The sequence below is a fragment of the Homo sapiens genome, chromosome 8 (genome assembly GCF_000001405.40).
Source record: "Homo sapiens chromosome 8, GRCh38.p14 Primary Assembly".
NCBI classification, from domain to species: domain Eukaryota; kingdom Metazoa; phylum Chordata; class Mammalia; order Primates; family Hominidae; genus Homo; species Homo sapiens.
In genome coordinates, this window is record NC_000008.11 from 15,730,570 (window position 1) to 15,753,477 (window position 22,908).

Consider the following 22,908-nt stretch of genomic DNA (forward strand, 5'->3'; position numbering starts at 1 on the left):
AATTAGATTTTTCCATTGTTTATCTTCATGACTTAAAACTACAAAATAATTATGAGGCTTTCTCAGACTGTAATTTCTGTTTGTCTTCTTTTATAGAGCTACATTCATGGGAGCAGCCAGGCTCAGTTTGTGGCAGAATCACACATTATTCTGGTACTGAGTATCCTTTTAAGATACCGACGAATTGAAAAGGGCAAACTAAAGCTACATGTTTTTAAATTGACATTTTTCCTGGCAGTAAATATCAAGACTTTTAAGAGACATTAAATTTTAGGCTGTACTATATGACTAATTTTTATTTTTTATGCTAATTATTTCCTATTACGGTATAATTTGTTGCTATTCCGTATCATTAACAGATCATAATTTTTTTTTACTGAGTGTTGAATTTCAGAGTATTACTTTTACTCTACATTGATGATCTCTGGCTAGATTTTTTCAAGTGTATATGGCTTTTCCGTATAGCATCCTAATGGCAAGAAAAAAGTGCCTTATGATATAAATAGCAGCTTAAAAAAGGTATTTTCGTACTGCTCCCCTTAAATATATGGTATGTCAGAAGAAGGAGATTTAGAGTGGTTCAACATGCCTTTTTGGAACATATCAGAGTGAGTCAGACTAAGTGTTGTGAATCAGATCATACAATGTAATTTATGATTTGGAGTTAGAAGGATGAAGAATGTAACAGGATAAAAAATAGTAGCAGGGTAAGAAAAAGGTAAGGTTAAGCATCTAATGTGAATATTCTTAGAATGAAATAAAATTAGTTTGGACACTGTTTTGGGGGAACATTGATTCTCATTATGAGAATGTAACGTGTGCCTCTAGTATCCTTTATAAAATTTGATTACTAATATCCTGGTTACTAAGATTCATATTCAAATGTGTAGTCTAGACCAAATTGTCCAGTACTGTATATAACCAAAGGTGTAAATCTTTAACTATCTTTGAATTCATCTAGGCCAAACCTCATTTTATATGTAGGAACACTAGAGCCCACAAAGGGCTTATGTTAGGGAAGCCCACTTGAGCTAGAATTAGAATTCAGTTGTCTTTTTCATGGTCTATCCTGTGTTCAAGTACTTCAGTTTTATGTACAATACTTTATTATGGTGTGTGACATATCATTTCACCAATGAATGTTAGTCATGCCTATTATTTTTAATCTGGAGGAAAAATACTATCTTTTTAACAACATTGAAGTTTTTGGATTTTATTACTTTGTTGTGTCATAACAATGCATTTTTAAAAATCTACTGGCAAAGACTTATTTGACCCCTTCAGTTTATTCAAGCAACCTATTTTATTTGCTTACTGTGTTTTAGGCACTGCATCAAGTGGTGGTATATAGTGATTACGGTATGGTGGGGAAAAGGGATGGAAAATGTTTGAAGCACTTGGAATTCTCAAGAAACTCAAAGACTTCCTCGTTTGTAAAATCAGGATTAGCAATACTGACCACACGGGATTTCTGTGTGAAGAAATGAGATAGCACACATTAAGCATCCAATAATCACAAAAGGCTAGTTGGTGTATTCCTCTGTTTTCCCTTCTTTCTTACTCTGAACTTTGGTGGCCACAGATAATAAGCATAAATACGTATATATGGGTTGATTCCTTAGTGATATGGTTTGGCTCTGTGTCCCTACCTAAATCTCACCTTGAATTGTAATAATCCCCACTTGTCATGGGAGGGATCCAGTGGGAGGTAATTGAATTTTGGGGGTGGGTTTTTCCCATGATGTTCTCATGATAATGAGTAAGTCTCATGAGATCTGATGGTATTATAAAGGGGCATTCCCCTGCACATGCTGTCTCTTTCCTGCTTCCATCTAAGATGTGCCTTTCACCATGATTGTGAGGCTTCCACAGCCATATGGAACTGTGAGTCCGTTAAACCTTTGTTTCTTTATAAATTACCCAAGCTCATGTATATCTTTATTAGCAGCGTGAGAACAAATACACCTAGCTTTTGACAAAGGTGTAGATGACCAGGAAAAAAAAAATCATCTTCTAATAAAATTTATCAAAATTCTAAAACTTGAAATGTAAACATTGAAATGACTTAATTTTTCTAGAGCAACATTTTTGAACCCGTTAAATTGTATAACTTATAAGGTAATACAAAGGCATTGTTTTTCAAGCTTTAATGAAAACGAAGGAATGAAGTTGAGAAGAACAAGATTACAAATCGCGTTTATATTGCAGGAGAACGAAAAGATACCTTTCTGAAACTCATTGAACACCACTGACCATCTTCTTCCTGTGTCTGTCTCCATTCTCAACATTTTTATTTCTCCCACCCTTGATGATGCATGCTTGGATACATACGTGAAATTGGGCACATCTGCAGCCCATTTCTTGCTTACATTTACTTACTTGCCTGTATGCTTTATGGTTTCAAAATTAAGAAACTACTGTGAGGAGTACTTGTTTGGCTCTAGTTTGTCTCATAGACTGGAACTGGAAATACAAATTTTGTTGTATTTTTCAACAAATGCTCAGTTTCTGCACACCTGCTTTAATATGGTAAGAGATTAATGCTTTCTGCACATCAGAGGTGCCTTCGGTGAGAAAAGGAAGTCTTTGTGTATATGTTTATAGACATATCTACTCCTCTCTATTAAAAAATAAGGGCAAAGCTGTATTTACTCTCGACTTACTATTTAAAGATATTCAGGAAGCAAAACATGTTAACATTAAAGCAAATGGATAGAAACATAAAGCATTTGTTGCAGGTAAGTTTTTAACTCATTTATTTAAATATTATAGCTTCTTTTTGTTTTTTTTTTTTTCCTAACTTGTTTCAATCCATGATGTAGCATCTTAGCAGTATACTTTATCTGGATAAAGTGATGACTATCGAAACACATCAGGAATACCGAGCTGAAGGATGAAAAGCTGTGTTGAGATCATCCTTTTATTGTATGGCAGGAATTCTCCAAGGTTTAATTTCATGGATCATTGACATCAAGCTGAGATTTAGGATTCAAATAAATTTCACAAGCAGTGTGAATGTTTTCATATAGATCTTAGCAGTGATACATAAAAGAATTAAAAGTCTGTATTCTCTTTATGCTAATAGTCATTATTTGTTGCTTCATTTTTCCTGTGTTTTTTATTTTAGACATATCTATTACTAAGAAAGAGAAAAATTCTTTTAAAATGGTGGACTCATTATCAGTGAAACTTTAAAAGAAGTCCAGGCACAGTGGTTCATGCCTGCAATCCCAGCACTTTCACAGGCTGATCATTTTAGTTGAGGAGTTTGAGACCAGCCTGGGCAACAGTAGGGGGAATCCTGTCTCTACAAAAAATTACAAAATTAGCCAGATGTGATGGCATACACCTGTGGTTCTAGCTACTTGGGAGGCGGAGGCAGGAGGATCACTTGAGCCCGGGAGGTCAAGGCTGCAGTGAGCTGTGCTCACACACTACACTTGAATCTGGGCGATAGAGTGAGACCCCGTCTCCAAAAAAGAAGTTATTTTTCAATAATTTCTGATTCTAGTTTCATTTGACAGTCTACTGCTACTTTTTGAACAATCCATATTTTCTTTGTAATTTGTGTATTTTGTTTTCTTCTGGCAAAAAATTACAAATACCAGATGATTACTTTTCATTTATCTGTAGAGAGAACATTTCTATCTTTTGGATTTCTTGTCCCAATTTAGTAAGTCAGATTATCAGATGCAGTTGCTATATACAAAGTTTTGCTGAAAAAATCATAAGAGAAAACAGATGGAGCATTTTGTATCATAGGTTATAGATTTATATTTACTAAGAATAAAAATATCTCCATATCAGTAGTGTTTTATTTTTTCAGTATCTTATTTAAGAAAACAATCCTAAGTAGTCTTTGAGAGAAAACTATATGAAAAAATAAGAAACATTATATTTTAATATGGAATATAAACCATCTAAAAATAACTTACATAGGGCTTTATATTTTTGCAAGTAAAAATTCATTTTTATTTCATTTATTTTTCCTTTTGTTAATGCTTTCACCATCTAATGCAAATGTGAATGAGATACTTGCTGTTTACAGAAAGGTAGGATGACAGAAAAATACTTATAATACAGTGAGACAAATGTATGCGAAGGCAAAGGAAGTAGCAAGAGAGGAACTAACTCCCTGTCTAGAGAATTGGCACTGACTTTTCAGCTGGATATTGAAGTATAAAAAGTTTCAGAGACAGAGAAATGGGTAAGGAGGCTATATTGGTAGAAGATACAACAGGTACACAATCAAAATGACAGCAAATATTCTTTATTGCAGGAAGATAAATTCATCAAGGCTGGAATACAAATTTTGAGGAGATTGGTGAAAGTTAGGTTAGGCTGGATAATGAAGACCTTGCTGAGAAATTTGAATCTTAGCTACACGTAGTAGATGCAGTGCAATTAATATGCCAATTTTATATATTTGGCATTGGGTAACTTACGAATTCTTTTTGAAGTATTATGAGGTTGAGCCCCGCATGTCTTCTTGATAAATTTGGCTGTGGAAAGGGAAATAGTAGCGTCATGCCTGTTTAGGGAACAGAAAGCCAATGGAGGCTTGCTCCTGTAATAATATTAAGGATAGGGTAGAGAAGGTAGAGCAAAGGAAGCAGGAGTCGCTGGCAGTCGTTCTGGCTGCTGGCAATGGTTCATCCTCCAGCATGAACCTAAGTAAGGGAATGGAGAGTGACTCAGCTGCTGTTTTAGAGGAAGAAGAAACAAAATTGATAATAAATGTCACAAGTAAGGTTCAAGAACAGGAATCAGAGATGATTCTGAAGTTCAGCTATGTGTTGTAGGATAGAAATATGGAGGAGAACAAGGTTTGGAGGGCAATGTTTAGCCCAAAAAAGTTCCTAAGATTGATTAGGCCTCATAATTGGTTGATGAGAAAGGGATTAATTTGTTTAAATTGCTTAAGATCATAAAGCCAATCAGTTGAAGAGTCAAGAACTTAAAACTTTTAACCCATTGTTTTTCTACTTAGTAATATTTTGCCAATAAATCAAAACCTCTGTGGTGAATAGGCCAGTAATGTTCTCACCAAATTATATATTGTGTTTATTTGTTGTAAATATCTGAAAAGATCATCATAATAAAGATACAGTGGATATGTTGATTTATTTTTTATTTTTATTTTTTGAGACGGAGTCTCACTTCTTGGTCGCCCAGGCTGGAGTGCAGTGGCGTGATCTCCGCTCACTGCAAGCTCTGCCTTCCGGGTTCACGCCATTCTCCTGCCTCAGCCTCCCAAGTAGCTGGGACTACAGGTGCACGCTGCCACACCCGGCTAATGGGTTTTTTTTTTTTGTTTTTTTGGTTTTTTTTTGTATTTTTAGTAGAGACGGGGTTTCACTGTGTTAGCCAGGATGGTCTCGATCTCCTGACCTCGTGATCCGCCCACCTTGGCCTCCCAAAGTGCTGGGATTACAGGCATGAGCCACCACGCCCGGCGATATTTCTTTAGTTATTCTATCGTATTTTTGTACAGAAGACAATATCCTCTAGCAGTATAAAAACAAATGTGTGTGGGGATATGTAAACATAAATACACACATACACGCAGGTGCATGTGCTTTGTGCTGAGATACAAGAGTCACAAAACCTGACAAGATGTCTGATGGTGTGGCATTTACAGTCTAAAGGAAGAGGAAGACACACAACAAATGACAGTGCAAATAATTCTTCATTTACAATTATGTTCTTAAAAAGTTTTCAAATGTCCAAAATTCAGTAGACTCAGGCTTGAGGCACATGGATCTTAAGTGGAATATCATGAAGTGAAAATATGCAGTTTTTGAAACCATAATTGGAAGAATTAGTATGCATATGAAATATATAAAATTGTGTTTAAAACTCTTTATATAATTTCCCAGAGTAGAGAATTTGAACTGTGGTATCAAATGATAAAATTAAGGTAGGGTATGTTTTTGATTATAGAATGTTCTTAAAATTCAAAACCTCATGTATGATTTTAATGAGATAATCTTAAATCTGCTTTTCTTACTAAATACACTTATAAATATGGCACAATAAAACAGACATGTAATTACAAGTAGTGGTTTTCTAAAATAAAAAGGCATCTTCATTTCACATTTAGAGAAATGTTTGCAGATATGTATGATTTTACTGTCCTAACTAATCTGCCTTTTTTTCTATCAATCAGTAGTCAGTCCAGGAGGGGCAGAACTATGTCATTTAAAATTTTATTTAAAATTTCAACCAGATCAAATTAGTTTCCGTAGACAGTAATGTTCCCACTGAATTCACCAAGATATGGTCTCTCTGTATGAGTGGATATAGAACACGTGAGTTCTAGGATAAGCTTTAGTGTCAACTATATAATCTCTGACCTAAGTTAGAAGATCTCAAGAAAATGACATGAAATAAATATTAGTTAGAAGTAAAATTATTTATATAAAAGTAAAGGTTATACTAGCAATTTAAAATTTTTATTCTTATAAAGATAACATTGCATTTTCTGTGAGCAAAACATTTTTTCCATTTATTATGAAAGAATATGATTTTATTCGCATCTGTTTCTAGTCTATTATAGAGAGCAAACATTCCTTTTAATGTGTTATATCCAAGGAGAAACATACTATAGAAAAAAATTAATGATAGATGCAGTTGAAAATTTTAGATTTAGAATTCTTTAAGTAAGTCTTCTATAATGTGCTAACATTTTTTTCAACGTCTATTTACATTTATCTATCTTTAAATTGAAAACATCTTGATTCCATTCCTAGTAGCAACAGTAAACTTAGCATATGCAATTGAGAAGGGATTATAATGTTTTGTAAATATATTCGTTACTAATTCTGTAGAATGCTCAGTGCCTCTGGGTATTGTATGTAATTTACACAAATAGCAGCTTTTTTATGTGGGATCATGTCAGTATTTTGACTAAGCAGTAGGAAAATGATCAACAGGATCAGCAAAGAAACTGGAGTGTGCACAGTAGTTTAAATATATATTGCCATGATATTAATCAATAAAAATGTGCAAAGTAATACAAAAACTAGGCCAAAGTATGTGTGTATAGGATAAAGGGTAGAGGTCCATCTGTTATTTTCTTTTAATGCTGGGATATTCCAATAAGGCAAAGCTAGACGGCTACACCCATCAATTTAATGACCAAAAAAGAACGTAACATTCTTTTTGGTCAGACGTAGAATCTTTTCAGATTTGGAGGGTCTTTCATTAATCATTCAGCCTTCCACTCAGTGAAAGAAATGCCACGTAAGAACAGTGAGAGATGATCATCTAGCTTCTTCCTGCATATAAAAATTAAGATTTTTATGTTACAAATGTAATTTTCCCCAAATGGTAAGTATTATTCAGTCTCTTTTTCAGCCAAAAATGTTTCAGTTAATACAATGAAATTTAAGCTAAACGATTCTCAACTCAACTCCTAAAGGCCTTGAGTTAAAAAATGTATCTTTAAATAATAGGGAGGGTTAGCGAGCTTAAAGCCATTTTAGTATAATTCATATGTCTTAATTACACCCATCAGGTTTTTAAACGGCTCACTGCTCTTTTCTTGTTAAAGCTTAGAAAACTCACTTTTGCAAGAAACATTCTGAGAAAGAGATCATACTTACTTACTGACCCCGCTGATTTCTAACAAAACATTTTATCTTGAGGTTGTATATAACCTATGTCTAGTAATCCCTTTGCTTTAAAATTCCCACTTTAAGGTTGTGTGCACAAATGTTTACTAAATTCTTGCATTTTAAAAAATTGTCAAGTAAGAATAAAGCTAAATTCCAGTGAGACATAATGGTATACAGTTTTTTTGACATCACCTTAAAATCTTTACAGCAGGGTTTGGCAAACTAGGACCAGTTCAGGCCCAATCCAACCTGCCTGCTATTTTTGTAAATAAAGTTTTATTGGAACACAGAAACACCCATTCATTTACGTATTGCCTGTGACTACTTTTGCACTACAACAAGTTGAGTAATAGCAACAGACTCCATATGACTTGCATAGCTGGAAAATACGTGTGACTCTTTCCTGAAAAAGTATGGCAATTTCTGCTCTATAGGCTGTGGTCAATAAAGAACACAAAAATCCACACTTTTATTAACTCACCCGTGAACAGTTACTGTTTTTATCTTTCATTCCCTGCAATCATTTCTTTGCATTTGTTTTAAAGGAGTCAGGTTTTATATATACTTTTATACATATTATACAAACATATACATCTTTTCACTTGGTATGGTGACAAAATTACTATTAATATATCTTGCTTTTTTTTTTTTTTTTTTTTTTTGAGAGGGAGTCTCACTCTGTTGCCCAGGCTGGAGTGCAGTGGTGCAATCTCGGCTCACTGCAACCTCTGCCTCCCAAGTTCAAGCAACTCCTCTGCCTCAGCCTCCTGAGCAGCTGGCACCACAGGCACGCGCCACCATGCCTGGCTAATTTTTGTATTCTTAATAGAGACGGGATTTCACCATATTGGCCAGGCTGGTCTTGAACTCCTGACCTTGTGATCCGCCTGCCTCAGCTTCCCAAAATGCTGGGATTACAGGCGTGAGCCACTGCGCCTGGCCTCTTGCTTTGTTATTAAGAATTTTTGTCAATTTCATTTTATATGGCTAGTTAACCTGTCACAAAAATATCTCATATGTTATAGTTGGACATTTACATTTTAATTTTTCACTATATAAATTATTCTAAAATAGATTTTTGTATGTATATTAAGTTTTTTCAGTATTTTATGTTTTGCCTTATTTATTTGGGAATAGCTTTATAGGAGTGTAGTTCATGAGCATACTTCTGGCACATATAATTAATGATAATTGATGATTTGCTGAGGTTTTTGACATGCTGAAATCTTAAAATTTTCATGTTGACTTGGGGTTTCTGTTCCATTTCTGCCCTGTTAATAGGGAGTCTGCATATTTTTTTAACTCATATAATTTGAAAAATGCTATATTGTTACTGCATTTGCTCCCAACAAAAATAGTAAATTATAAAAATGATTTAAAGCAGCGTGAAACATAAGTGATATAAAGGTAAATTCATAGACATCTTTAAAATGGCAATTTTGTGAGTTATTGCAAACTTATTTGTAAAATCTGGAATATGTTTATGGAGTAGTAAAATGTATTTGAATGCTCTGTGCTTTATGAAGAAGATTTTTATTCTTAGCCTAAAGATATTTCATGCTGAAACTGGGCTAGCAATTATGTTCTTTGCCCAATGCTTGTTATCATTTTCATCTAATCCTGATATCATCTTACTTCATTACTTTTGTGCTTTTTTGCTTTGCATCTTTCACTCTTTAGTTTTGTGACTTTGAGCAAGTTGTTTAAACTTCTCTGGGCTTCAGTTTCCTTGTTTGTAAACAGATGGTAATGTCTACATCAGAGAGTTATTGGTACTGGGTAAGATAGTGAATAAAACAAAGTTCTTGCCCTTTTGGAGCTAAAATTGTAGTGCTGGAACAAAGACAATAAGTACATTGTAAAACGTATACAATCTGAAATTTCTTTCAAAAACAATTTTATAATAAAAAAAAATCAGAGTAAAGGTGAGAGGAGGCTTCTCTGACAAGATTGAATTTGAACAGAGACCCAGTGGAAGTGAGGGAGTAAATTACATGGCCATCCCAGGGAAAAGTACCTCAGGCAGTGGGAATAACAAGTTCAAAGATCTCCTTATTACCTGACTTGCTTTGAAGGTATTAGGAGAAAAGGCTAGAAACCTAGAAGGAGGATTTAATTTCTAAAGCAGGAAACAACCACCAAAACTCATAAAGGAAAAGATGCATAAATTTGGCCACATTAAAATTAAAGTTTTCTACATGACAGAATAATTTAAAATACAAATATAAAGGAGAATCTGAACGCAATACTTCAGTCAATTCGTATCTGGAAAAAAAAATGTTGTCCTCCAAGTTAAGAAAAAGCAACTGTGCTTTTGGAAAAACGGGAGGAAAAAAAAAGAACAAGCAGTGTGCCAAAGATTAAACCCAAAAAAGAGGAATGAACATATCAAAAGATGCTCAGAACCAAGTGGTGAGCTATTCGTACAACTCTTTTCCTTATCAGTTTGATAAAATCAATAATTGGGTAGTATTGTGTTAGTGAAATGTAAGAAAACTTGAACTAACATTGCTCATTTTAGAGAGCAGTATGATTGTACGTAGCGAATTTGAAAATACACTTACCAAACCTCTCAAAAATTCCACTTATGGTTATAGACCGTGGAGAAAATATTGCACATGTACACTAGGAGACCTGTGAAAATATATTCTTTGCAGGAATGTTTATAGTAGCAAGCATTTGGAAACAAATGCCATCAGTAAGATAAAGCAATAAAATATGGTATACTCTTACGAAAATGTACGTAATTTTCTGTTACCACATTGTTTGAATTTAAGCAATTCAAATGAGAAACATGTTACTCATAGTTTTCAACATTGTAACAATACAGAGGGAGAGTAGTAAAAATGATATGAAGATACATTTATAGGGATATGTTATACTTGGGTGACCATAATTAATGCCCTGTAAAATATACTTTTCCCTGAGTTCATGGCTTTGTGTGTGTATAAACCGATAACATGTTTGTGTACATGTGCATTTATATGTGTATAAAATTTGACCCTAAGAACATACTAATATATTGCTTTACTCCCATTAAAACTGTCATACATTTTATTTTGTAGGCTTTATTTTCCCCAGTAATAGAAATACTGCCATTTCCCCCATGATTCATTAATCGAATTGAGGAAGCTGCTTATTAGATGAATCATAAAATGAATGTATGTTTTACTTTTAATGTCTACATAAATTCATCTTAAATGCCATTTATGTTTTGAATATTTAAAAATGTCATAGTAGCTGGGCGCGGTGGCTCACAACTGTAATCCCAGCACTTTGGGAGACCGAGGCAGGCAGACCACTTGAGGCCAGCATGGCGAAACCCCAACTCTACTAAAATACTAAAGTTGTCCGGGCATGGCGGTGCACTCCTGTGATCTTCCAGCCACTCGAGACACTGAGGCATGAGAACCGCTTGAACCTGGGAGGCAGAGGTTGCAGTGAATCAAGATCGTGCCACTGCACTGCAGCCTGGGCTACAAAGTGAAACTGTGTCTCTAAAAATTAAAAAAAAAAAATTAAAAAGTCATAGTAAAATAATCTGCAATTCTATTTGAATTATTAGTTTAAATATGTGTATTTAAATGTGTAGATAAAAATTTATACATGCATATAAAAGATATTGCAGAAAAAATGATTAAAGGGGAAACTTAGTAACTCCTTGTTAAGGATCCATATCAGTCACATCTATCTGCTCTAGAAAACTGAGTTTTAAGCAGTAGAAATCTCCTACATATGAACAGTTTTAGTGAAACAAGTTTTTAATTTTTATCATGTTGTTATTAACAATGTCCCATGTCTGTGGATTCGGGGTAATGTATACAAGTAGATGGTCCAAAACACTTTAAGAATAATGGATTTAATTTAAAGTCTACAGACTACCATACTGATGATACAAAACAGTCATTCTCTTAGAATATTCTTTTCAGGCTACTGCCTACATGATTGAAAGGCAGGAATTTCATAGAAATTTCAGTGTTTTTCAAGCTGTGTAGCATGGATCTCTAAAAGTTTAGTGCTAGTCTATGGTATGTGTATGGTGGGAGGGGCTTTTCTCTTGTATATGTTAGGCTCCCAAACATAGGTTTTTCTTTATTTTCCTTTTTTCTAGAAAGGGTTCCAAAGCTAAAACAAATACAATAGTTTGAAAAACCGTTTGTATAGAGAGGTCATGGAAGCATAAATGCCTTACTAGAGAAGTCAGGCATTTATCCTTATCCAGAAGTTGGATAATATGGTCATGAAGACAGATTCAAATATGAACATTATAATTTATTACTAATTAGAATTTCAATAATATGGTTATAAAAACAAGACTCAGAGAGGAAATGTTCTGTGCAGAATTTTCTCTGACCTCCTCCACTTGCTGGTATATTGCCCAATACTGTCCTTTGAGCTTTTGTTGATAGAGACATCCTGCACAGGAGATTCATTGATGCTGTTTATACACAAATAGCAGTAGAAAGAAACACAAGGGAATCATAATGAAATTAAGCAAATTGAGGAGGTTCTGGGCTAGAATTGCTTCATTTTTCTCTTCAATTTTTAGTCCATTAATCGCTTGGGCGAAATACATATTTTCAGAATTGATGAGTTCTAAAATCTTAAGAGTCGACAATGTGAAAAATGTTGTAATGACATGGCAAAGAATGTTTTTATGAAGATGAAAATTTCCCATTTTCTTAATTCTGGCATTATTCAACATAGCATGAATATATCCATCCTGTTGCAAGCAGGTGTTAAAAACAAGTAATTTTGTGATCTCATTCTTAAGGTATCAGTTAGCTGACTAGCTCAGGGTCCTGCTAGATTCATTAAATTGTTTTATTATAATATGCTTGTCTGCTTTTGTAAGATTGTTAATTGTATAACCCCAGATTTTCAAGTGACATGATACCGGACCTTCATAAAGATTTCAACTAAACAAAATCTATGAAAAAATGCTTTTAGAAGAAAAAGCTGTGTACACACACGTTATGAAAATGAAATGTGTCAATGACATGTGTCATGTCTATAAGCAGTGCATATCTTTATGTATAATGTGAAATGTGGTAACTGGTTTTGAGAGTCCATATAGTTTATATGTGCTGTGAAAATCCTGGAATTTAAGAACCTTTGGAATTAGCCTCTCAATATATCACAAATTGAAGTTTCAGGTTATAAATTTTTAAAGTTAAGGCATATTTGCTCACAAAGAATGGTAATTTTATGTTATATAAAGGTAATTGATTGTATTTACCTCTGTGTGCATTTGTAGTTTAACCATTCTGGAACATTGTGTTCAGAGCCAGAAAAATTAATAGATTTTATTCACATCTATGTCTACGGCTTCCTTGACAACTACTGCAGATGCCGCTATCACCATGGGGATGGTTCTTCTAAATGAAGCAGCAACTTCGAAAGGCGATGTTGGAAAAAGACGGAGTAAGTCTCTGTGTTGCCATTTTTGTAATTTCGTTTTAGTCTTAAGATTCATTTAAGTCAAATGGGAAATACATAAAAGCCCTTTGTAAACAAACTTCTAAAGAAATGTTCTGGTTTGAAGAAGATTTTAACTTTTTTCTATTGCTGGGATGTGTTCATATACTTGAAAATATATTTCTTCCAAAGGGGACTGGGTCGTTTTCTGTTGATTTGCTTATAAAGTGGAGCTGTCCTTCACCCTTGTCAGGGTGCTCTAATCCATCCCTGCTGAAGCCATAGTCTTGGTTGTAATTCCACCCGGCACAGAGAGATGGAAAATTTTGAGGGCAGAGTCTTCAGAGATTTTATTGGCATGTAACATATTCCCTCTGCTACAAGAATCAGGGGTGCGCTCAAAGCGTGACTTAGATGAAGCTTCTGCATAGGTATTGTACAGTGAGATACTCTTATTACCTTTCTATTCGTTCCAAAGCTTCCTTTAACATTTTTTAAAAGGCATCTATTGATACTATCTTTTCCAGGGTCTTTGCCTTTTCCATTGATATACCAAGATTTACAACTCCCTCAAGTTCTCCGGCATTATGTTTTTAAGCAAGTTAATTCTGTGGCTTTTCTTTGATGGGACCATTTCTCTCAGAGTTGTAGAAAAACATATATGAGGTTTTTGAGAAGTAAAGAGTTTTCTAGCAAAAAGAGAAGAACACACAGGGAAAATGTGCTCTGAGGAGCAAAGGACAGTCGATTGTTTCCTGCCACAGACCTTTTTATAGTTAATATCAAGTCCCTATATGATTTGATATGTCCACAGACCTGTTATTTTTTTCTTTCTTTGCATTTCTGAACTCTCTTTAAAACCCAAAATTTATGTATGAGCAGTATAGGTATCTGAAAAAGAGTATTTATTAAGATATTTAAAATAAAAATCCAGACTTCATGGGTTTTTAGCTAGGGTGACATGTGTGTAAACAAATCATAGTGCTTTCTAAATACTTAAAAGTCTTAGGGGTAGAAATGTTTTTGATGTAATACACAGTTTAGACTGCCCTCTTTTCCTATGGTATCATCTATTGTATTAAAGAAACTACAAAAGAAAGGAGATTACTTTATCATGTTGAATTTTATTTATTTATCTTTTGAATAAACACCATGTCCTTAGGATTGACAAATTATGCCTATGAGGACATACTATTTTTTTAATAATTTATTTTAGATTTGGGGGTTTATGTATAAGTTTGTCCCATGGGTATTTTGGATGATACTGAGGTTTAGGTAAGGATCTCATCACCCAATAATGAGCTTAGTACCAAACAGGTGATTTTTCAACCTACACGCTCCTCACTCCATCCCCACTCTAGTCGTGTCTGTTCTCATCTTTATGTTCATATGTACACAATGTTTAGCTCCCACTTACAAGTGAGAACATGAGGTATTTGGTTTTCTGTTTCTGTGTTAATTCACTTAGGATAATGGCCTCCAGCTGAATTCCTATTGATGTAAAGGAGATGATTTTGTTCTTTTTGGCTGCATAGTATTCCATGGTGCATACATACCACATTTTCTTTATCTAGTCCGTCATTGATGTGGTATATATGTACCATGGAATCAACCTGGGTTGATTTCATTTTTTTGCTGATGTGCATAGGGCTGTAGTAAACATAAGAGTGCATGGGTCTTTTTGGTGGAGTGATTTATTTTTCTTTGGGTGTATACCCAGTAAGGGGGTTGCTGGGCCAAAGGTAGCACTGTGTTAAGTTTTTTGAGAAATCTCGAAACTGTTTTCCACAGTAGCTGCTCTAATTTACATTCCCGACAACAGTGCATAAGCATTCCCTTTTCCCCACGACCTCACCGGTATGTGCTTTTTGACTCTAATCATAGCCATTCTGACTGGAGTGAGATGGTATCTCATTGTGGTTTTGATTTGCATTTCTCTGCTGAGTAATGATAATGAACATTTTTTCATATGTTTACTGGCCACTTGTCTGTCTTTTAAGAAATACCTGTTCATATCCTTTTTCTACTTTTTAATGGGGTTGTTTTTTGCTTGTGGATTTAAGTTCCGTGTAGATTCTGGATACTAGATGTTTGTCAGATGCATAGCTAGCAAAAATTTTCTCCCATTCTGTAGGTTGTCTGTTTACTCTGTCTTGTTGTTTTGCGGTGCAGAGGCTCATTAATCAGTCCCACTTGCCAGTTTTTATTTGCAATTGCCTTTGGAGACTTAGTAAAAAAAATTCTTTGCCAAGGCCAATGTTGAGACAGGCATTTCCTAGGTTTTCTTCTAGGATTTTTAAAGTTTTAGGTGTTACATTTACTTTTCATCTATATGGTGAAGGGTAGGGGCCAAGTTTCATTCTTGTGCATATGGCTAGCCAGTTATCCCAGCAACATTTATTGGATAGAGAGTCCTCTCCCCATTGCTTGTTTTTGTCAACTTTGTTGAAGATCAGATGGTTGAGAGTGTGCAGCTTTATTTCTGCGATTTCTATTCTGTTCCATTGGTCTGTGTGGAGGAGATACTGTTAATTATGTGTTTATTGTATATCCTGTCTTAAGGTAAATAAGAAATTTGTAGTAAATTTTTAAATCTTACAATATTTATTGTAGCAATATGATACTCAATTTATTAAATCACCGTTTTCAACTCCTCTCTTGGTAGATGTTTGTTTCTCTAACTCCAGCTCCCAGCCACCCCCAAATTAATTATTCATGTTGTGTATGTGCTTGTGTGTGTATGAAAGTGAGCTGGAAAACATATTTTAAAACTTTCAAATTATTCCTTTTTGATGTGATTTTTATTTTTGATGTGGCACAACTACTATGATTAATATTTCCCAGGTCAGAATGCATCTGCCTCATTATGGCATTTTATTTTCACAGGTGTAGTATCTCATGTGGCTGCCGTGGTTCCTTTAATAATTATTAACCCCTCCCTGCACTGAGTTCCTCTGCCTTCCCATATACAAGTACTTGAGTAGCATTATTTTGTTCCACTGCATAGGATCAAGTAATTATCTTCTGTCTTACTTGATCACACATTTCAAGCCTCATTTCTGATAGAGCACAACCCAATGGGGCTACTAAAAAGGAGCAAAGGGAATGAAAAGAGTGCTTTATTCTTCTGAAAAATAAAAAAGGAGATGGAAGGAAAAGAAAAGAAAGACGTGTTAGATAAAATGACAGATTTGGGAAGTATAGAGTAAATAATTTTGTAATTAATTATAGGTTTTTATAAACAAAGTTGTTACTATGCTGTATCTGGGTCCTGGTATGTGTCATACAGGGATATTCTATAATTTTCAAAAATGTTTTTTTTATTTTATGATACTCACAGACTCATTTTTTGCTTTATTTTCTCCCAATATTCATTTGAAGTTCAGCTGCATGAGTGTTGTCTGAAATGAAATGTCAGAGGCTACACTTGGATGCTATTAAATGTTTGTGTTGTTTCACAATTCATATTCAAAACTTAGAAGATATTCCTGTAGAGTTGCATAAAAATTGACACATTTGCAGACCATATTTTGACAAAGCCGTACCTTATGTACTCCATGATTGCCAGAATTGCAGTTAAACTTGGTTTGGTTTATATATTGGAAAAAATTTTAAAAATCATAGTTCCTTATTATAGAATCATATAGATCTGTTTGATTTTCCTTATTTTCTTCTGCTTTAATCTTTCTCTATTTTACAAATAACTTCAAATATTTTTCAAATTGTTTAGAATTCTCTGAAGTGAATAAAAGGTGTATTGTGCAAATTATGTGTTCTTAAAAGATGTTTAGATATTTCTTAAGAGATTAACACTAATTTCTACTTATATATTTAAATAAATTTTATTTAAATATCTTTGTCTTTTATTCTAAACGTACTTTAATTGGCTCAGATTAAGTATTTAAATTTTATAAGCATGTTTAGATTGTACTAACTGCAGTGAATCTTGTTTAAATATCCAAAATACTATATGCAAAAGAAACATATTTTATTATGCATCTGCTTTAGAGTAAAATCTTCTCAATCATACTAAAAAGGAAATGAGAAAATAAAGTACTGCTCGTATTTTCAGCTTTCCTGGGACAGAGGAATATTGAAAACCTAGACCGCAGCACATTCGACTATAACATATGTCCTCAGTTTCTTTGTAAGACAAACAGTAACAATATTTTGACACTACTACCTGCCATGGAGGGAGTTTTCTCCCCTCTGGTTTTCACTTAGACCATATTTTCTCTCTCCAAGCTTTTATTCCTTGCTTTCTATAACATGCTCTTACTGAGGCAATACTAACCAAAAACCTAAAATTATTGCATAGCATCGGAAAAGATCAAAATTATATTAAGCATTCTAACAATGCAAATGTTCCTGCTAATATAGCCAATGCTTCATAACGCAAGAGGCAATAATCTTGTTTGTGGTTTATAACATGTTTTGTTTTGATCACTCTGGGGCATGTTAGTACTTGTAAGAACTCTATAAAAGAAGAAAACCTCCAGAAGACTTAGATCAGTCAATTTTGTTGTTTTCATACCACAAATAGTACATTTTCATTGAGAAGACACAAATAGTACATTTTCATTGAGAAGAATGTGGAAAATAATGAACACATTGGATACCTGTATCCAAATACCTGTTTGTTGTACCTGTATGTACCATGAACTGTTAAATGTAAGTATACTGTAATTGAATGCATTTAAAAATATAAACAATTGGGGTTTCATTTGCATATTTTTAGACACTAATGGTATTTTCTGTCTGTTTCTAGTAATTTGCCTAGTGGGATTGGGCCTGGTGGTCTTCTTCTTCAGTTTTCTACTTTCAATATTTCGTTCCAAGTACCACGGCTATCCTTATAGGTAATATCTTTATACTAACATGAATGTTTTTATTTTTAACTAATAGAACAGAGTTTCAGTGGTTAATATATAATTAAGGATGAATGTAAAGTTGCTGTGTGGTTTTTTTAAATTCAGTTAAGCAAGTTTTTGAGCACCTGCCATGTGTTCAGCATAGTGAAGTACACAAAGGAGATATAAGGCATGGTTCTTGTTCCCTGACAGCATGTAGTTTCTTTCTAGACATACATATTTTTATATAACAAATGAGGTTTAAGCTCATTTTGAGGACTTGAAAATTTTTATCTTCCCTTAGTTTGTCGTGATTTCGACTTCATTTGCAAGATTGTTTTCTCATATAATTCACTGTTCATTGTCTAATAAACTTTGTATTATCTTTTGAATTCTACAAAATTTTAACTTTTCAAAATAAGAGCCAACATGAAAGGGAAAAGTTAAGTAATAAAATAATTTCTGGTCATTATAAATCATCATAACGAGTATCTCATAAGATTTTCACCAACAAATATATTGAAAATTCAAAGGCCGCATTATTATTACCAAACTATAGTTTCAGTAAAGCACACTACAGAAGAGGTGCCCGATTACAGTTGTTCAGCTTATGAATTAGGCATATATTCATTCTTGAGCTTTTTCCTCCTTCAAGTTTTCTTAAATAACTTAACATTTTTTTCTTTCTCTAAGGAGTCCTTCTTTTAGGTTAGCTCATTTCTAATGAGTAAAAGCTCAGTATTTCCTTTTTCAGAGATTTTGAAGACTCTGGTTAGGTAGTAGAACCAGTGATATGTTGATAGAAAATAAAAGCTCCTCAAAGCCTACATTTCTTCCACCTGTGAGCAGTGGACATTTTTAGAACGTTTCCACACAGATCATAGCAGCAATATATAGCTTTATCAGGGAAAAAACTAATCCCATAAAAGGGAGATCTGACTTTGGGATTATAATACAAGAATAAGACCCTTCAGCCCCACCCCCTCTATTTTCATATGTGGCCAGAGGTACATTTCCAATTCTCTTCTTCCCACACCCATTAAAAATAAATATACCAAGGGAATGGAAGAAATGTGGGTATCAGATTTTCTGACACCCTGCCTGCAGTGTAAATTTTTAAAAATATCTGTTCTGAGGGCAGCAAGGGTTATGAGAGAGGCAAGCAGAGTCTTCAGGTTTTTCATTTTACTCTTGACTTTAGAGAGCCAGCCAATTTTGGTTTTGATGATGTGAAATAATCAAATCCAAGATTAAGTAATATCCAAGAAAGATGAAGTTTTTTTTTTTTTTCTTTTGCCCTGCTCTAGGATTGAGAATCATGTTTTTGTATGATTGGTACTTAGTTTGGCCTGTGTTCTATAATGGAAACTGTAAATTAAGAAAAATAGAAATCCTCTGTATTTTATCTAGGATGCCAAAAACACTTGAAAATTAATCCATTTTCATCTATAGCACTTATAGTTTCAAAGGAAATGTTGTATCTCTTTTTATGAAAAGATAAACTATACAGTAAGTGATACTGTGAGATTTTTTTTTTTTTTGAAACGGAGTCTTGCTCTGTTGCCCAGGCTGGAGTGCAGTGGCTTGATCTCGGCTCACTGCAAGCTCCGCCTCCCAGGTTCACTCCATTCTCCTGCCTCAGCCTCCCGAGTAGCTGGGACTACGGGTGCCCGCCACCATGCCTGGCTAATTTTTTGTATTTTTAGTAGACGCAGAGTTTCACTGTGTTAGCCAGGATGGTCTCGATCTCCTGACCTCATGGTCCACCCACCTCGGCCTCCCAAAGTGCTGGGATTACAGGCGTGAGCCACCACGCCCAGCTGAGATTCTTAAGCCCTATTTAGTTGACAGGAAGTAGGGAAGGGTAAAGGGCAAATTCTAACTTTCCTTGTATATCAGAGCATGTAATGATACTAAAATATCATTCCCTATCTAGATTATTATCTGACAGCAATATAATGACTAGGAAAAGTGGAGAAAAAAATATTTTACTAGTTTTTTATAATGTTGCACTTGACAGCCCTATTTTTGTTACGATAGGAAGAGTTTAAGTTTGTACTTCTTTTAGTTTGTACTTTTTTTTTCAAGTAGTAGTTGTCATTTAGTATAATAACTCTCTACTGCTCTGGGGTTATGTTGTTGTTGTTTTTAACGGAGGCTGGACATAGAAACTACCCAGAAAGCTTTGGAAAATACATATCCTTGGCCTCACCATAGATATAAATAGTAAGCACATCTGAACCAGCATACATGCCACTTACGTTATTTCTGTGTGAATGTGGCATTTGAACAGTCTTCTTATGTAACCAGCCCCACACTCCTGTCAGCTCCCCACCAGCCTAACAGGAGATAGATTTGCCTTCAGCAGGCCTCATAATGCTAGAAATATAGATGAAACTCTTGTAAGAAGTCAGAGATGGAAATTATTTTTTAGAGTGGTTTGTGAATATGAAATTTGACATAGTTTAGATGAAAACCCTAAGGAGGAGCTGCCAAGAAACAGAATCAGAAGAGAGCCTATCAAAGAAGCTTGGGACACCAGGTGTGCTAAACAGTGTGACCTGCTGTGTAGAGAAATGGCAGGCAGGCCTCTGGCTGCTATAACAGCTCTTCACAGTGCTCCATCATCTCCTGTGCTATTGTGTGGGTTTACGAGATTGACTTAGGCAAGCTAAATAGAGTTTGGGTTGCTCTGTTAGGCAACTTTAGATTCAACTAGCCAAAAGGCAATCAGGGTATTTTAGGTAATGGGAGGTTTATTGGAGAGAGATATGGAGAAGCAAGGAAGACAATTAAAAAAAAACCTAATTGCCACATAGCTAGGTGTCTCAGATGTTGGAAAAAGTTCAGAAAGTAGGTCATTCAACAACAGAAATCCATTGCTTCAGAGGTAACTCAAATGGCTAATCTCTTGCTCCAATCCTTCCACTATTATTACTGAGTAATGTCTTTATACTGTTCTCTTCAGCTGATTAGAGCCTTCTATGTCCCTTTGGCTCCCACCTATATATACTACCGGTTCTCACTCTCTCAACATGATTTTGTGAATTTTCTAGGAGGAAGTGATTGGCTAAGTTTTTCATCCCCCAGTATAGGGGCGTCTGATTTAAGTAGAACTTTGAAGCCAGTCTACCCTTTGGACTCCTTGGAGGTGTTCAAAGAGCTCACTGAATGTAAATTAATTGTCTGTTTCTTAGGCACATCCAAAAGAAGCCAAATACAATGACAAGTACCTATAAAAGTTAACACCACCAAATATGTGACCAGAGTAGTATTTAATTCAGTTCATGTATTTGGGAAAAAGGTGTGCAGGATAGATCTTTGATCCTAAGAGATCGTTCTCAAAACTCTGTGGCTTCTTATTCCTACACCATGCACAGCTGAGTCAGAATCTCCAAGTGTGGGTTTTAAGAATCAGGTGAATAGTTACCCAGGTAAATCTGATATAACCATTTTATGAGCCTGTCTTAGGGAACTAAGTGATAAAGGATTTCACAATTGCCTCTCAGTTTTAAATTTGAGTTGTTAAATGCTTTATAGACATGCCGTGGTGCTTACTGTGAAATCTTCTGTTTGGAGAAAATACATACATCCATGAACCGGGGAATAACAATATAAAGTGTCACAAGCTAAGTGGCTGGCAGATCTGTTGTATGGAAATAATTTACAGGTGAGAAAGATCACTGTGGGTCTGAGAAAGGAAGACTCCAGAAGAAGGCTTGAATTAGGCTAAAATTCAACACAGCATTTAGACAAAGGAGAGAGGAGGGGCTGAGGGTATTTCATGAGCCGAAAGTCATAATTTGTGTACAAAGGAATGGGAAGAGAAATATGTTCATGGTATATTCTGAGGATTATGAGTATACTGCTATGGTGTGACAGCCTTAATATGTACTACTCAATAGTGAACGTTTCTGGTTTAAAATACATTAATTAGACAGAAAGAAATATATGAAAAGGAAGATATATACACAAAAGGAAATATTCTTAACCAATTTGGGTGAATTTTATGACAGTTCTCTAATTCAAATTCTAGATGTTTGCAAAACTAATAATTATTTTTCCAGATGAGTTTTTGGGATTTTTTCCAGAACATCATAGTGTTCTGGTATTTTAGTACTGCAAAGGATCATGGAGATCATATCACTGAAATTCATTTTATAGATGAGACCAAGAGAGTATCTTTATTTTATGACAGAAGCAGAAAATCTGACTCTGCTTACTTGTCTCTCCTGTGCCATGTTTTGTGTAGAAAAACGTGATTCGTATATTCCTATAAGTAGAAAATTATCCCAGAATCAAAGTTGAAAATAACATGAGGTCAAATGTATAATGACCTCAATAATCTGATAGCCAAAGCCTCTAAGAAAAATGTTGACAATTAGATAAATGTTCAGCACCAAGATAATAACTTACTTTGGCCTCTTCAATTCTTGTGAGCTCCAGAAGTTCAAGAGATGACGATTTTACTCAAGGAAAAACTTCCTTATTCTTGAACTTGGTACAAATATATGCAATGAAACAAAAGGAAATCTACATAAAAACTAAGGGACACTGACAAAATCTACTTATTAAACAAATTTAAGTAATTTTTATATCTTATTCTTTACTAATGAAAGCTGCTATAGTTTACATAGATGTGATTCCCTTTTTATGTTTTTTCTAATCCTATAATGTTCTCTTCATGTATCCTCAGATCATTTCTGAGATTTGTTCTTTCTTATCTGAATTTCATGACTTAGTTATCCAGCTATTCTACTGTCCAATTTAAAAAATCCCTCTAATTATATCTTCCCAGATCACATTAAAGCCTTCTAATATGTCCGTTCAGCTCTTTTGAGAACTGTCATTTAATCGTTTTCCTACATTCTATGGATATACTGTAAATTGTTCAGCAAGCTTTCATAAATCCTTATGGTGCTCACAGATAACCCTTCTTGTGATCATTCATACGTGAATTATTTTGCTCTCTCAGGTTTATATAGTATAACTGTTCCCTTCATGACATTTACAGTATCCTC

The 22,908-nt window shown here is 34.5% G+C and overlaps 1 protein-coding gene across 32 annotated transcripts in view; it reads left to right on the forward strand.

The window, feature by feature from the left end:
• Window positions 1–22,908, forward strand: part of TUSC3 (tumor suppressor candidate 3) — a 434,904-nt gene that overhangs the window by 313,382 nt on the left and 98,614 nt on the right. For 18 of the 32 annotated variants that reach the window (NR_182199.1, NM_001413670.1, NM_001413672.1 and 15 more), the window contains 3 exons: window positions 97–160; window positions 12,969–13,043; window positions 17,806–17,896. The exons of 1 other annotated variant lie outside the window; for it this stretch is intronic. Coding sequence is in view for 26 of the 31 variants with exons in the window: in NM_001413670.1 (NP_001400599.1) it covers window positions 97–160; window positions 12,969–13,043; window positions 17,806–17,896 (230 nt within the window). In the remaining 5 variants the exon portion in view is untranslated. Of the gene's footprint in view, window positions 1–96; window positions 2,048–2,822; window positions 3,077–12,876; window positions 13,044–13,564; window positions 15,692–15,923; window positions 16,804–17,805; window positions 17,897–21,427; window positions 22,712–22,908 lie in introns of those variants that run through there. 13 more of the 32 variants (NM_001413685.1, NM_001413679.1, NM_001413674.1 and 10 more) reach the window with 9 other exon arrangements.